Source organism: Homo sapiens, chromosome 5 (assembly GCF_000001405.40).
Source record: "Homo sapiens chromosome 5, GRCh38.p14 Primary Assembly".
Lineage (NCBI taxonomy): Eukaryota > Metazoa > Chordata > Mammalia > Primates > Hominidae > Homo > Homo sapiens.
This window is the reverse complement of record NC_000005.10, coordinates 152,115,162-152,131,271: the sequence shown is the minus strand read 5'-3', so window position 1 is coordinate 152,131,271 and position 16,110 is coordinate 152,115,162. Positions and strand designations below refer to the sequence as shown.

The following is a 16,110-nucleotide window of genomic DNA, read 5'->3' as shown; positions in this document are numbered from 1 at the left end:
GCTTGATGGAGTGGAGACTTGTGGTCTTGACAAAGAGATGCCTTAAGGTGGAGGATTAATTATATCATTTTATTGTCAACATTAAAACTAGTATTTTGTATATGTTTCATTTTAAAAATGCATTTGATTTGGGGCTTGAAAAATGATTTAAAAATAAAATGAAAAAGCTTGACAGAGTTTGGCCCCTTTTTGCCCCTCCACTTTTTTGCCATGTGAGGACACAGTGTTCCTCCCCACTGGAAGATGCACCATTCAAGGTGCCATCTTGGCAGCAGAAACCAGACCCTCATCAGACAACAGAACCTGCCAGCCCCTTGATCTTAGACTTCACAGCCTTTACAAGTGTGTGAAAATAAATTTCTGTTCTTTACACATTACCAAGTCTCAGGTATTCTGTTATAGCAGCACAAACAGACTAAGACAGAGGCTAAAATAAGTTAAGTGATCTACCCAGTGACAGATCACTGGTTAACAGTAGGTTGGGATGGGATCTCAAATATCTGATTCTAAATCCAGGACTCCTCTCTTTGCCATTAGTTAAAACAATTAATCTATTCTTCTACCTTTGAAAATTATATTTCAGATTTATTGCTCATTAAATAAGCATCTATTTAGTGCCTTCTTTGTATCTGAACACTAGTTATAGAGGAAGAAATCAACTAAGCATTGCCTCTGCCCCTAATAAGTTCACAGTCTAATTGAAGAGACCAGTAAGTAAATCAGCAACTACTGTGTGGCGTGTGCCTTGATTAGTGTGTAACTGAGTAGGGAGCAAATTTAGAGGAAAAGGATTTCAACTGGATATGGGGAGCAGGCGCTTAAGGTAGCAAAGAGGGGACAGGCATCGCAGGGCAAGAGTAAACAATGGGTAAGCATATGAAAATCATTAGAATACATGGTGTGTAAGAAAGCTATGAGGCCAGAGGTGACCAAAGACCAATCATGGAGGACCCTATCCACCAAATAGCAGTTCAAAATGCATTGTAGTAGATAAAAGCTATTGTAGACATGGAGGGAGAACTTGAAAACGTTGAAGTGGGGAGAGGCATAATCCCATTTGAATATTAGATTAATTGTTCTGTGGTTATTGTGGTGGGAGGGAAGTAGTGTACTTTGAAATAAGGAGACCCTTGGGAAGCTTCTACCTGGTTGAAATCTAGAGATTGAGGGCCTGAATTAAATTAATGATAAAAAATTAGTAATCAGACACCAAGAAAGTAAATATGGAAGCAATTTAGTAAATAATTATATTAGGGAAGGATATATGAGAAAATAGAATCTTAAACACCTCCCAGATCTGGCTTGGGTGTCTGGGTGAATGATGATACCATTTAGGAGAACGAGAAAGTCTATGGGGAAGATGGTGAGTTTATTTTGGACATATTGCATTTGAGTTAGTTGTGAGCTATACAAGGAGAGCTGTCAGGGAGGCAAACAGGTACAAGGGTATGGCATTTAGCACAGAGGTCTGGCTTAAGAGTGTTTTCAGAATCACAAGATTATAATTGGTAGTTCCTGCCACAGGCTTAGAAGTGTCCACCCAGAGAGAATGTTTAGGATTAGAAGAATGAGAAATTAGAGTAAGGAAGGAAAGAAAAAGAAAGAAATCCTGGAAGAAAGCAGAGATGGTGTCACGCTTTTCTCAAGCACTGAGAGAGAGAAACTCAAATGCCCTGAGGCATCCGCTGTATGTAATGGTTTAACTTCTCTCCCAGAAGGGTACTAGTTATGTACCTTCCATAGGAGAATTGAGACAATAACATCACTCAAACTATTTTCTGTGTTATGTGTCCCAGGTGAGGATCCCTGGTTGAGAAACACTGTCAGGCAGAGGGGAGGAAAACCAGCAGACAGTCGTGCCACAGCAATCAAAAGAGATGGTCGATGCCAAATGTCACAAAGAGTTTGAGAAGGAATAGCACAGGAAATATCCACAGGACTTGAAAACACAGAGTTTATTACCAGGTAGAAGGAGCAATTGCAATGTGTCGGGGAGGAGAGGACATCGTATTGGTGGGTGACTAAATGGGTTCCGACAAACAGGCTGTAGTAAAAATGCTGAAAACTAGTGTATGCCTTTGAAGAAAACTGACTATTAAGAGGAGGAAAGAAATCAAACTATAGCTTGTGGGGAATCTGGTACTGGTTATATTTATACACTGAGAAGAAAGAACAAGTGTGATAGAGGTGGCAATTGAGGAAAAGGCCACAAAGTAAATGACTGGCAAAACAAGATTCACAAGGGAGTGATAGAAGATGGGATACAAAGATGGGCAAAGAGATGACCCTTGGCCAGCAGAATGAATCTCTCTCTCTCCCTCTCTCTCTCCCCACCTCTCTCTCTGATATAGGGAGAAAGGAGGAAAAGAGATAGGAGATATGCTTGCAGATATCACAAGAGGCAGTTGGTGTGGCAAGAATGATAATGATGATCCATCTTTTCAGTGAAGTAGTAAAGTTCATCCGTGTTAGAAAAAAAAAATGACAAAACTGGGCATTTTCAGAAAGGGGTAAAATTGGGTAAGAGCCAGGGAGGAAAAATGGAGAAGGGATGTGACTTGGAACCCGTGGAAGGATGGCCAAGCTGCATGGAGGATCCAAGGAAGATCACAAACCCCTAGAAATACTCACCGCATTATATTCCAGATTATCTCCACTCGCATAGATGGAGTACATGCAATCACTGCTACTCTCTGAGCCCATCTCTTTGAAATCAAAGGCACACATTTGCAAAAGAACTATCCCAGTTTATGGCAATCATGCTTAGCTATGAAAGAAGTTGTTCCTAAGAGATTCGTAATGAAGACTGAACGCTCTAACTTAGCCTCATCTACACAGTCCTCTACCCTCCTTAGATAACAACTTCACAGTAACTAGTTTCTCTCCCATTAATATTCTCCAGTGAACATCACTTGAAAATATTAGCTCTTCGCCAGCCAGCCACACCCACCCAAATGCACTGATATATAAAATAGGACCCTTGACTTAAGCAGATTCAGCCGCTATTCAGGAATAGGCCTACACTTCTCTTTAACTGGGTCCTTAAGCAGTCTTAAGATGCTGTTGACACTCTAGATCAAGGACTAAGATGCAGTCAGAAGTATTTTTTCTATCTCTGGACTGGCCCATAGACTTCTGTCTTTGAATTTATGGTATTCAGTACACTGTGACTTAAATGGAAAGGTTTGGTATTAAATCAACCAGTACGAACTCATTATCTATCTACTACATGACAGACACTATGCTAGGTGCTCAGGATGCACCCATATACATCACAGACATAGTCTCTCTTATTGTGATCCTTACAGTGTAGTGTGAAGAAAGTCAATCTTACTGATAAGGTCATCAGTGAAGAGGTCGTTAAGAGAGAAAGAGGATCTCCAGATTGGACAGTTGACATGAAAAAGTACACTTGGACTGGGATTGTAAGCTGGACCCAATGTTCTAAAATCCTTTAGCCCCATTTTTGACAGTATGAGTGATGATATTAGATGGCCTCCTAGCCATGAACAGTTTATTCATCCTACTCATCTCTGTGTCAAGCTTACAAAGGAAGTCTAATCCTTGGGTTGGGTGATGTCTCCTTATGAACTTATAGTAAAACTAGTGTTAAAAAAATTTCCAAACAAATATGGACTCCTACACTTAGAGAGGATTTTAGAGCCAATTTATTGCCCTTCTGGTGTTTGAATCTCTCATATAACCTTCTAAACAAGTAGTCATGCAGTCTCTGATTGAATACTTCCAGTAAGGAGTAACACTACCCCCAAAGATCACCTACCTTAACTCAAAATTTACTTTATGTTTAGGCCGGACGCAGTGGCTCACGCCTATAATCCCAGCACTTTGGGAGGCTGAGGCAGGTGGATCATAAGGTCAGGAGATCAAGACCATCCTGGCTAACATGGTGAAACCCCATCTCTGTTAAAAATACAAAAAAAGTTAGCCAGGCATGGTGGCGGGCCCCTGTAGCCTCAGCTACTCGGGAGGCTGAGGCAGGAGAATGGCATGAACCTGGGAAGCAGAGCTTGCAGTGAGCCGAGATCGAGCCACTGCACTCCAGCCTGGGCGACACAGTGAGACTCCATCTCAAAAAAAAAAAAAATTTACTTCATTCTTTGAATGGAATTTTGTCTTCCTGTGTCTTCTACCCATTTTATCCCTAAGCTTAAAAGGCACAGAAGCATCAGTTATACAAGACAAGCTTACAGGATTTGTGGGTAGGTGACGCCATTTACTAAAATCATTAGCACAGCTCTTAATCTTAGGCTTACTTATACACATTTCCAGGAGAAGCAAAGAATATACATTCTCACTATTACCATCAGCGAATGAAGAAACACGCTATGTGTGTATATGCTAAAACAAAATCAATTATAATGGAACGTTTGGAATAATGACTGTCTGGGAGAAAAGAACCAGAGGTTCTCACTTATCTGCCAATGTGACAGATGTGGCCTGTCTTTTGAGCCTAGCTCTCTCTGTCTTGCCCACTCTTCTTTCCTTTATTTAGTTCCTCACTCGATGAACCAACATGTACCAAATTATCTATCTCCTACATGCCAGGTACTAGGCTAGATGCTCAAAGTGAGGTGTATCGCTTCACTCTCCTGACCCACGCAGGCAGTCAGATCTCAAGATGCAGGTTCGGAACAGGAGGGAGAAAAATTCCCTTTAGATCTCAGGCTCATGCTGTGTACTCTCAGTTTGCTAGTGTTCTGCACTGGAGTAAAATGATGCCTGTTTTCTATTTAGCACAGTCTCTCGTAACTGTAAGTCCCTTAGGAGACACAAGGCATAAAGAATATGGATCAGAATGCAATGTAAACATTCCTGTATCCCCTAAGAAAATTCTATACAGCAAACTTTCCAATTCTATATTATCCCTTAACCAAATCCTTTATTATTGGAAGGCAGAGTAATTCTGAATCCAGGGCATTTCTTACACTCCAGTTTTTCCTCATCCCAGCTTCTGGTGGGTTTATGTCTTGAAAGTAAACCAACACGGAAAGAATTCTCACTGAGAATTCTATAAGCCACTGGAAGGCAAAGCTGTGCACATTCCAGTGGGGAACTAAAGAAAAACGGGTGCATTCTCCCCTACTTTACCCCTAGAGCCCTCACACAGTGGCAAAAGAATCAGTAATTGACAGAAGTGGAAACTGATTTCCTGGAGTAGCCTTGGAGTCCGAAGGCACCAGGGGCGGGGGTGGGAGTGGAGCAGAGGGGCGCTGTGACGTCACTGAGCTCCCTCCCTTGGAGGCCATGGAGGTCTGAGGAAGTAGCAGGGCCTGGCAGGAGGTGGCTTGCCTCTGGGCACTGAAGGATCTGGTGAAGCAACATCTGCCAGCCAATGAACACAGCAGAGCATTGCTCTGAGCATCATAGAGGGCAACCAGAAGGGAGAAATGGCAGATGCCAGGTAATAGCTGACCAGATTTATTTGTTAGTACATATGGGACTCTCCCTCGGGACCCCCTGAAATAGCTTAAAGGGCCTTGCCGGGGGCTGGGGACACTGCATTAGCAGGTGCACATGAAAGGCATTGCAATATGGGCTTTTTACCAATAATGCTTCATTCTAAAGAAAGAGTGGAGGGCTGTGGGGAAACCAAGATGACAGATTCAACAGAATCACAGAATGTTGGGGCTAAATGGGAACACAGAGATCACCTGGTATGAAATCTTTATTGCTTAAACAGGCAAACAAAAAGCCAGAAAGGGGAAGGGACAGAGAAGGTCACACAGCTGAGGAAGTGGCAGGAGAAAGACCAAGACTCCTGTGTAGCATATCCCCTTTCCAGGCCCTGGGTGGGTTCCACTTCTCCAGTTATGCTGGAAACCTGTGTGGCTCTTGGTGACAAGCAGGCTGAGCCTTGTATTTGTAGACACAGACTAAATATGTGTGGATTGATAGTTTGGGCAGTAATGCTGACTGTTAATTTCTGTATTTGCATCTTTAACAGATCTTTGAAAGAACAGAAGAGGGAAGAAACCAAAGGTCAGGGAGAAGCTAAGTGGTGTGGGGCCTTCCCCATGCCCCACAAGGACCGGCTCCCCTGTTCCCTTATGTGTGGGGATTCTTGGCATACAGAGGGACGTGGGCCACCAGGTTATATGTGTGCACAGATTTGTAGTGTGTGTGTGATGTGATTTTGGTAGTTTCTGTGCTTCTACACAATGCATGTTTCTGATAGAACAGGAAAGAAGGGAGAGAGACTTTGGACAAAGGGACAAGCTCTGTAGAAAGAACATCTTCGATGCAAGTAATAAAAAGGCACGCAATAATGCTTCTCACAAACAGCCACTAGCAAGCCTGTGCCACTGCCACAGCCATAAAACACCCACGCCTGCCATAACCCGTAACCAGTTCTGCACGATGCACCCGCCCAGCCTGCCTCCCGCATCGGCTCTTTACCAGGCTGCCGCAGAGCTCGTCACAGGCTCCCTGGAGAGGGCTGCCCATCCAGAGCGGAACCTGATTACCTTTCTCTCCTCCTCACCACCGAGGGTGGTCCCACCTGCTGAGATGGGAGAAGGAGGGTGAAACTGCAATGATCTGTCACCTTTACAAGGTTTCCAGGACAACACCATGGAGATGGGGACATTTGAATTCCCTACATTCCATCTCCCAATGCTGTGTCCTTTGTTAGACTGCCATGGCCTCCTCAGTTCATGCTCTCTCCCAGGCTGGGGCTGCTGCTTCTGTGGAGCTGCTCCTCAGCAGGCCTGCATGCAGACCCTCCCACATCACTCAGCCACAGCAGCTAAGAACTATTCAGAATAGCTGGTTTTATTCAACACTTAGGATAGGCCTTGCATTTTGCTAAGGGCTTTGTCTACACTACCTTATTTAATTCTTACAACAAATTTATGATGCAGATACCATTGCTCAGATGATTGTTTTGCAAATCAGACAACTGGGGCCTAAATATCACATAGCTAGAAAAAGAATGTGACTCAAAGGTGAAGCCATTGGCCAGAGACTATGATTTCAGGCACTTTATTATAGGTTGGCAGTTTAACCAAGACCACCCTCGTAGTCAGAAAAAAAGTTTAATATTTGGATTTGAAGTAGGTTCAAGTGAGCTGGCAAGGACATGTTGCCCTGTGAGGTTTTCCCAACCCCTTGAAATCATTGGCTTGACTTATCTCGGCACCTTGAACTATCTACTCCACTTAGTGTTGAGTTTATGCTCATCACCCTGCAAAAATGCTTGGCCAGGACCCATTTTCTCCCACAAAAACAATTTTCTCCTCTTGATGGAAAGAATGCTAGTGTTTATGTAACACTTGGCACTTTTCTTATATATTCTCCCACTCAGTCCTCCAATTGGCCCTGTGATGTGGACATGGGAGGGGGTGGCTCTAATCTTACAGATATGGAAAGGATAATTGCCTCACCTAGGAAAAAGCAAACACTTCCCACAACCTGATCACCACACAAATCGATCAACTGGAAACCACTTGGTAACGCTGATGAAACCCTTTCTTCTCCTTCCTGTGTCCTAAAGAATCAACTAGCTAATAGTGTAGAAAACTCTTCCTGGTCTGTTTGCCCTCCTTTCCACCCAGGGAGGTAGACCCTCGGAAGAAACAAGGGTTCTCTTCTTACAACAGGAGAGCAAGTTACAAGATGTCCTCAGAGGGAGGGAAGAGCCACAGTGCCTTCATTAAAAAGGAGATGTAAACATCTGCCTAGTCTTTTGAAAACACTCCCCACTGGGAGCAGAGATGACAAAGAGAAAACATAGCAAAAGGAGAGAACACTGAAATGAACAGGAGGCAGCTGCTCTAGGACAGGGCACTAAAACGTTAGTTAAGAGTGCCAGGTCCCTCAGTGGCTTCCTTGTGTCTACAAAATAAAGTTCCAATGCCTGTCCAGTTTTCTTTCCCACTACTCTGCTGCATGTTCTCTAGGCTCCAATCAAAATGGAAAACCATTCCATGCATATGTTGAAGGCAAGGGCTTGTACACTCGATGCCCGAAAGGCCCAGCCAGCAACGTGATGGCCTGCAGCCAGCTAGGTGTAAGTAAAACAGTATACCAGGCATACTTCTAATGACTATTGACCCTCAGAAAACAACAGGGATCAATGAGGCTGGAAGGCAAACTGGAATGTTTCTGCCCGCTCTAAAGAGGGTGGAAGCTGCCCAGCTCCAGTTAATCATGGCTCAGCTTGAAGGCAGCTTAAGGCTACCAGAGCTTCTGAATGAAAAGAACCCAGCAATGCAGAAATCTACATGAAATATCCTATCATCAAATGTAGATAACTGGTTCATAATTTTTTAAACATATTATAGGCTAAACAACATATTTCTGTGAGCCAAAGCTAGCCAGACAGTAGACAGTTTGAAGCCTTTGTCCTAATTTCTGCCTACACAACTTTATTCCTACTGTTTGAAATACTGTCTCCTCTTCCCCATTGCCTGTTCAAAGCCTATTCAACCATGAGCTGAGAAAGTAATAGAGTACCAAGAAAAATGTCCCATGGTTGCAGGCTTTTTTCTTTTAATAAATAATATGTTACGGAAAAGTGGTATAAAACTTGGCAAAACAGGTTCTAGCGAATATCTTAGGTCTAATAATCTCCAACATGCTAATTTCGTGAAGTGATAAAGTGGTCCTGAGCGTGCTGGAGAGGCAGGAGACAGGCAGCATGGTATCATGCGAGACAGCAACAGCACTCCATGCTGGCAGACGGGCTCCAGTCCCAGCTCTGTCATTCACTAGCTGTGTTACCCTAAGCAGCCAACTTCACTCTCTGAGACTTGTTTGCCTCATCTGAAAAATGGGGAATCATGTCTACCTGCCTACTTACAGAATTGTTGTGACGATCAGATTAATGAGTGAAAGTGTGTGAACATGCTTCCAAAATTCTAAGGCAATAAATATGTAAGTCTCCAACAGGTAGGGATTATTACTAACGTTTTGAGGTTATTAATAAAAATTAGAGCAAGAAAAAACCTGCCCATCCCAGTACAAACAAAATGCCTTTTAAAAGCACACACCTGCTATTCATTTCCAGAACTTAGAAAAAACAAAATATAAAAAGTACATACCCTTTGGCCTAGGAATTTCACTACTAAGAAATTAGCCTAAGAAAATAGTCACGTGTGACTGCATTATTTAGCTACAACTATGTTTATGGCAATATTGTTTGTAACGGGCAAAACATAAACAAAAAACAACTTCAAAACCTCTTATATGTCCAACTATAAAGAGGTTTGGTTAAACACAGCTTGGTATCTCCAGGAGTTAAATATTATGAGTTCATGTCCTTTGCAGGGACATGGATGAAGCTGGAAACCATCATTCTCAGCAAACTGTCGCAAGGACAAAAAACCAAAAACCGCATGTTCTCACTCATAGGTGGGAATTGAACAATGAGAACACATGGACACAGGAAGGGGAACATCACACACCGGGGCCTGTTGTAGGGTGGGGGGAGGGGGGAGGGATAGCATTAGGAGATACACCTAATGTAAATGACGAGTTGATGGGTGCAGCACACCAACATGGCACATGTATACATATGTAACTAACCTGTACGTTGTGCACATGTACCCTAAAACTTAAAATATATTTTAAAAAATCATAAAATAAATAAATAAATAAATATCATGTACTCATTAAAAAGTCTAATACAATTTTGTGGAGAAAAAAATTTAATTATGTTTTGAATAAAAAAGTTAGAGAGTAGTAGAACCCCATTTGTATAATTATGGTTGTATATATTTGCATAGTAAAATATTTTAAAAATTATACAACCCAAAGATAATGAGTTATCACTCTGGTAAGATCACAGAGGATTTTGATTTTCTTCTATTTGCTTACTGATTTTTTTTTCTAAATTTTCTAAAGAGATCGGGTATAGCTTTTATAGTGCCGAGGAAACAACCAAAGTGGTAACTGTATCATTTTCAAATTACAAAATTCTACCCATCCTCCAAGCCCCATTTAAGGAACCACCTTGTCCATAAGACTTGCAGAATGCTACCAGTGGAATGGCACACCACTGCTATTAAAACCACATTTCACTTAGCATCTCTCCCGGGAAACATTACTTCTACACAGTATTAGAGTTATCTGGAGACTTGTTTTATCTCCCGTTATAAACACCTTGTGGATGTGAATCATGCCTAGGACAGATCTTTATATACAATAGACACTTCATACATTATTGAACTGCTTCGTTAAAAGTACACTTAAGTAACTGTTTTCTGAAAAGATGTGTGTTTTGAAGTTTCCTGTCTCCCCAAGGATACACTCTGTCTTTGACTAAGTAGCATAACACTATCAACATCATCATTCCCATCCTGATAAACAGTTATTGTGCACTTACTATATGCCAGATGCATATTTGCTTTTAATAAGACAACATGATAAAAAGTACTCTCTTACACATACACCCACTTTTAGTTGAAGAAACAGACTCAGGGGAGTAAAGTAACTTGCTAAAGGTGGCAGAGTTTAATAAGCAGTGATCTGGTATTTGAACCCGGGTCTGTCTTATTCCGCAGCCCTGAATTTTCTGATCACATTATCCCGCCTTGAACACAGTGGTGAACATGCCTGCAGTGGTCATGTATGTAAGGTTATGAATTCATGGAAAAGCTAGTTGTTGAACTTCCTTTTATCACTCTGCATGAAATACTTATTATAGGACCACAAAATGTCTTTAATTTCCACTGAAGGATGAGACATCAATTATTATCAATTATCCATGTGAAGAGAAACTTAAGCGTAGTGTGATGCAATGGCAAGTATATTGACCTAGACATTATTAAACCAGGGTTCAAGTCCTGGCTCTTCCACCAACTCACTGGGGGAATTTGGGGCACCAGTCAAGTCCATCTGTAGGGAAAGGTTGCCTCAATGGTGACTAGGCTCTCTCAGAATATCCTCCTAATTGTCTCAGCTTTCACTCAGGCCCTCCCAACCCATTCTCCATCCAGCAGTCAAAAAATCAGATTGTGTCATTCTCCTTCTTAAAATGCCTCTGTGAAGTCTTCCACACGTTGAATAAAGATATAGACGCTTAAGATACCATCAGTATAATCAGGCCTCTGCCCACATCTGCAACCTCTTGTCCCCTTGCTTGCTCCATGGAAGCCACATGACCTCCTTTCTGCCCCTCAAACACAGGTCAGCTCCTGCAACTGTTGTTCATTCCTCTTAGAGACCCCTTGCCCCCATTATCAAACCCAAATTGCACACACCAGGGAAACATATTTATCCATCATGCCTACAAATAAAAGTTCCTACCTCAGAGAGGACTTCTCTCCAACCTAAAAACGGCTCTGTTTTTGTCTCCTTTAGCACCTTATATTTCTTTCTCCATAGTGTATCATAGTTTGTAATTACACAGTTCTTCCTGTGATTGTTTGCACAAAGGCCGTCTGCCCATTAACGTTCTCCATGGAGGCTGGGGTTGTGTCTGTTTTGCTTACCATGCATCCCAGCAATGTGTCTCTGCCTGGCTTAAAGTAGGTGTTCACTGTTCAGTAATTAATTAAAGGCTAGAATATTGGTGTGATAATTGTGAGTTACCAGAGCAGATAGGTAGGAATATTTTGGGGAGGGAAAATGGAACATACAATTGGGCTGGGGAACGAAGATGAAGTGCTAACAAGTAGAGTGGCTGGGCTCAAGTGCTGAGACTAACAAGAGCAAGAGATGAGCCCGAATAGGTCCATTAGGGCATACTCGAAGAGCTGGGTCCGTGTCCCTTACCCAGCACCTTGATGGGACATTGTGTGTGTATCGGGAGGGGAGGATGGACACACTGTTCTGGCAAGCTGAGCCCCTCCACCTGCTCCTGACACAGCACCTGCCTCAGATTGGCGTCTGCACCTCTGGAATGCAGTGGGCATTGGCAGGCAGCATCTCAACATTGCATTTCAGTCCTGCCGTGCTGCACTGCAGCTACTGCAGTCTGTCTCATCCCACTCCAACTGTCTCTCTGCTGTGCCAGGAATTTTCACTCTGAGATGGGACCCACAAAACAACAGCTGCTCATTCTTGCTGTCACTCCTCTCAGTAGCAACACTATTTCAATACAGCAAATAGTGCCTGTGCCGCACTGATACGTCCTCAGACAGCCTATCCCATAACTCGGGGGGCAGGGCAGCTGCCAGGGAGAGACAAAAGCTTCAGTCCTTTATATTGACAACAAGAGGTTAATACCTAAAGGAGACAAAGGGGGAATATTTGCTCTGAATATTATTTTTACTTGAAAAATTATCTCATTTATTTTTTCATGCAATTTGTTACCATTGCTTATCAAAGTTCTCTGTAAATGTGCAATCTATGAATAATATATACATACTACTTGCCAATTGTTTGTTTATACAAAACCTCTAGCATGCATTGACCATTTACAAAGCACTGTTGCATTCTTTCTTTGAGCTTCACAGCAACCCTGGGAGGCCAGTGGGACATTATATGAATTTCCTGAAGCTGCTGTCATATATTACCATAAACTCAGTACCTTAAAGCAACAGAAATGTATTCTCTCTCAGTTCTGGAGGCTGGAAGTCTGAAATTCAGCAGTGCAATTCTCCCTCTGGGGACTCCCAGGACTAATCTGTTCCTTGTATCACCTAGGGTCTGGCAGCCACCAGCGTTCCTGGACTCATGGCTGTGGTGCTGCAATACCTGCCTAGGGCTTCACATTGCCTTCTCCTCTGTGTCAAATGCCCTCTGCCCTTTTCTCATAAGGATACTTGTGATGGCATGTAGGGCCCACCCACACAATCCGTGATACTCTCCTCATCTCAAGATCCTTCACTTAGTTACATCTGCAAAGATCCTTTTTCATAGTTTCGAAAGATTTAAAGTAGATTTCCTTTGGGAGTTATTTTTCAGCCTCTCACAGGCATGAGTGATGGTTGCCCCTCTGCAGATAAGCAAACCAAGGTTGAAGGACTTGCCAATGGTCACACAGTTAGTGACAGATGCAACACAGAAATTAAATTTGGGGTTGATTCCATGTTTTTGCTATTGACATTGAAGCAGCTACATTGTCTGGGGTAAATACCAGGGGTTCGTCATCTCGCGCCAAGAAAATTTAGGACACGGGCACACGTGAGTTTAGGAGTGGAGGTTTAATGGGCAAAAGAAAGAGAAATGAAACAGCTCTCTCTCTAGTGAGAGAGAGGGGACTTCCAAGAGGAAAAGGCCTGCCGGCAGTGGACGTACCACATTTTATAGTCGGGCTTGAGGCGATGTTGTCTGATTTACGTAGGGCTCATAGATTGGCTCCATCAGGTGTGACGTTTACATAGCATGGGGAAGGCTGGCCACCCCACCCTAATATTATGCAAATGAACTCCCCCATTGGCTGGCACCATCTTGTCTGCTCCTTACCATACTCGAGGCTGGCAGAGAAGGGAAGATGGAGCTGCCGTTTTGAACGCGTGTAGTCCAAGGTAGTTCTTTCCTGCTGGCATTCATCCGTGCAAGCTCCCAGTTTGCTTGTCTATGTCTGCAGCTCGACTTTACAGGCTGCTCTTTGTTAGAAAATGATTTGGGGCCGCTCTTCATTAGAAGGAACACCTTACCAAGGACTTCCACACTCTATCTAGCTAAGTAATTTCTTCTTAACTCCTGTATCAACATGGATGAAATTGGAAGCCATTTTCCTCAGCAAACTAACACAGGAACAGAAAACCAAACACCACACATTCTCACTTTTAAGTGGGAGCTGAATAATGAGAACACGTGGACACAGGGAGAGGAACAACACACCCTGGGGCCTATTTGAGGGGCAGGGAGAGGTAGAGCATCAGGATAAATAGGTAACGCATTCAGGGCTTAATGCCTAGGTGATGGGTTGACAGGTGCAGCAAACAACCATGACACATATTTACCTATGCAACAAACCTGCACATCCTGCACATGTATCCCAGAATTTAAAATTAAATTAAGTTAAAAAAAATTTTATCACTAAACCCAGGACACTTCAACTTTATCATGTGGCCTCCCAAATGTCCCTCTGAAAGAGGGAGAGGACAAAACTTTCCTTAGCTCTCAAGAACCATTCAGTCTATGTAGGGAGTTCTAGGAAATTCCAGATGGACTCAAAGTCAAGTGACTTGCCTGGGGCTACTTAACCAGTTGGCGGTTGAGCCACCATGAGAGCTACGCCCTGGAAAAGCTTCCTGATATGAGATCTCCCAATCCAGTCACTTCTCCAACCTGCTTTTCTACGCCCAATTAAAGAGATTAGGATCAATGAAGACTTTCTGGAAGCAGCAAACCATAAGTCAAACCCAAAGGAAATAGATGTCTGAAATAGCAGAGAGAAGAGGACAGCACATATTTGACAGAGGCAGAAACCCAAGACCTGTGCAGGAAATAGGGTCAGACTAACTGGACTATAAGACTTACTGCAGGGAAAAAGCTGGCTTCAGTGGAGCACTGTGCATTCTCTACAGCTCACCCTTTCACCTTAGCTGATTCTGACTTTGGGAACTATTTCACAAATATGTAAGCTGTTTGCTAACTGATAGCAATGCAAAATAATTATTGTCTATAGACATGCAAATAAATTCTGTACAGTGGAGGAACAACCTTTTCCCTTCTCCCATGGAAAAAAATTACTTTATCTCTATTTGCAAATTCATTTCAATATTCATGATCTATAGATGTACCTGTTCTGTGGATTCTCTTTTAACTGGTTGTATTATCACACAACCCATTTTCTCATTAAAGGAGTTAAATAAAATCCTGAACACATGTTCGTTTCTATATCTGTATGAGAATCATGATTTTTTTCTTCTATTTTTTAAATTCAAAATTGATTTTTATTCACCATCAGTTGCATAGGCCTTCCCATCAACATTACTGATGTTCTCCAATGCTAGATAAGGAATTGCAAAGGAAATAATGGTCAAGTATGCAAGATTAGAATAACAGAATCTGAATTCACCATTTTCTCCTAGGATTTTTTCTTCCTTGACTCTTTTTTTTTTGAGATGGAGTTTTGCTCTTGTTGCCCAGGCTGCAGTGCAATGGCGCAATCTCGGCTCACTGCAACCTCCACCTCCCGGGTTCAAGCAATTCTCCTACCTCAGCCTCCTGAGTAGCTGGGATAACAGGCATGTTCCACCATGATTTGAACCAGACAGAGAAAGACTCCAGGTGGTTTGTTCATTATCTAATTCTGATTAATGTTCCTTCAGTAAGGAAAGAACTAACCCCTTCAGGTAAGGAACATTAAAGGTTAATAGCATCAAAAGCCAATGTGAAAAATCAGGATTTTATCTTTTATTTTTAGTTATCTTTTACCAGTTCTTAGGGGAATTCTGTGTTCAGAGTTCTGAGCATTCTTGAAGCCAGAAACTACCTTTAAGCTCATCTAGTTTCATGTGTTTTATTGATGAGGAAATGTGGCCCACAGAGGGGGCAGGGCTTGTGTCTGAAAACCCTGCAGGCAGAGCCAGGACTAGTGCCTGGCACCAAGTTAAGAATCCCATAGATCTGGATTCCTATACCAGCTAACCTATAATAAGTATGTAGTGAGGCAAGTTACTTACCTCAAAAAACCTTAGTTTTCAGTACCTGCCTCATAGCACCTATCCCATATGGGTTGCCTTGAGGGTCATATGAGATCATGCATGTATAAAGCAATATCAAAGAATCTGACCAATGAGAAGTATTCAACAAAAGTCAGATGCTAGGACTTTTGTTACACAGTCCTGAGATGGCAGTGGGGAAGAAGGGCTGTGAGGTGACTGAATTTTACATTTGTCTTATATGATACTATCATATTATTATTTCATGTGTATATCCATTTCCCCAATAAATGGGCAAATTTATTGAAGACAGGGATTATCCTCCCCTCTTAGATGAACGCTTTCTGTATGCTTGGGCACTGAGCTAAGTGCTTCACTTCTATCATCTCATTTAATCCTCACAAAACCTAAGGAGATAAGTCATATTATTTGGCTCCTATGATAAAGACTGATAGCTACGTATCCAATATCCAGTATGCCTTTCTTCATTACTAAGTAAACTCCAGTTTTTTAGAGGCAGTAAAGTACCAGACATAACAGTATATCTCTCAACGTCTTTTGCAATTAGGGATGGTTCCCTGGCCAAGTT

The 16,110-nt window shown here is 42.4% G+C and overlaps 1 long non-coding RNA gene across 1 annotated transcript in view, besides 1 other annotated feature; it reads right to left on the bottom strand.

Moving 5' to 3' along the window:
• Positions 1–16,110, bottom strand: part of LINC01933 (long intergenic non-protein coding RNA 1933) — a 311,552-nt gene that overhangs the window by 139,178 nt on the left and 156,264 nt on the right. The window lies entirely within an intron of this gene.
• Positions 6,374–6,933: an enhancer, noted in NCBI's record as "H3K4me1 hESC enhancer chr5:151503900-151504459 (GRCh37/hg19 assembly coordinates)". NCBI's record gives its function as "activates a minimal SCP1, AML or CMV promoter by ChIP-STARR-seq in naive H9 embryonic stem cells {active_cell/tissue: H9 hESC(naive)}" and the evidence as "EXISTENCE:reporter gene assay evidence [ECO:0000049][PMID:30033119]".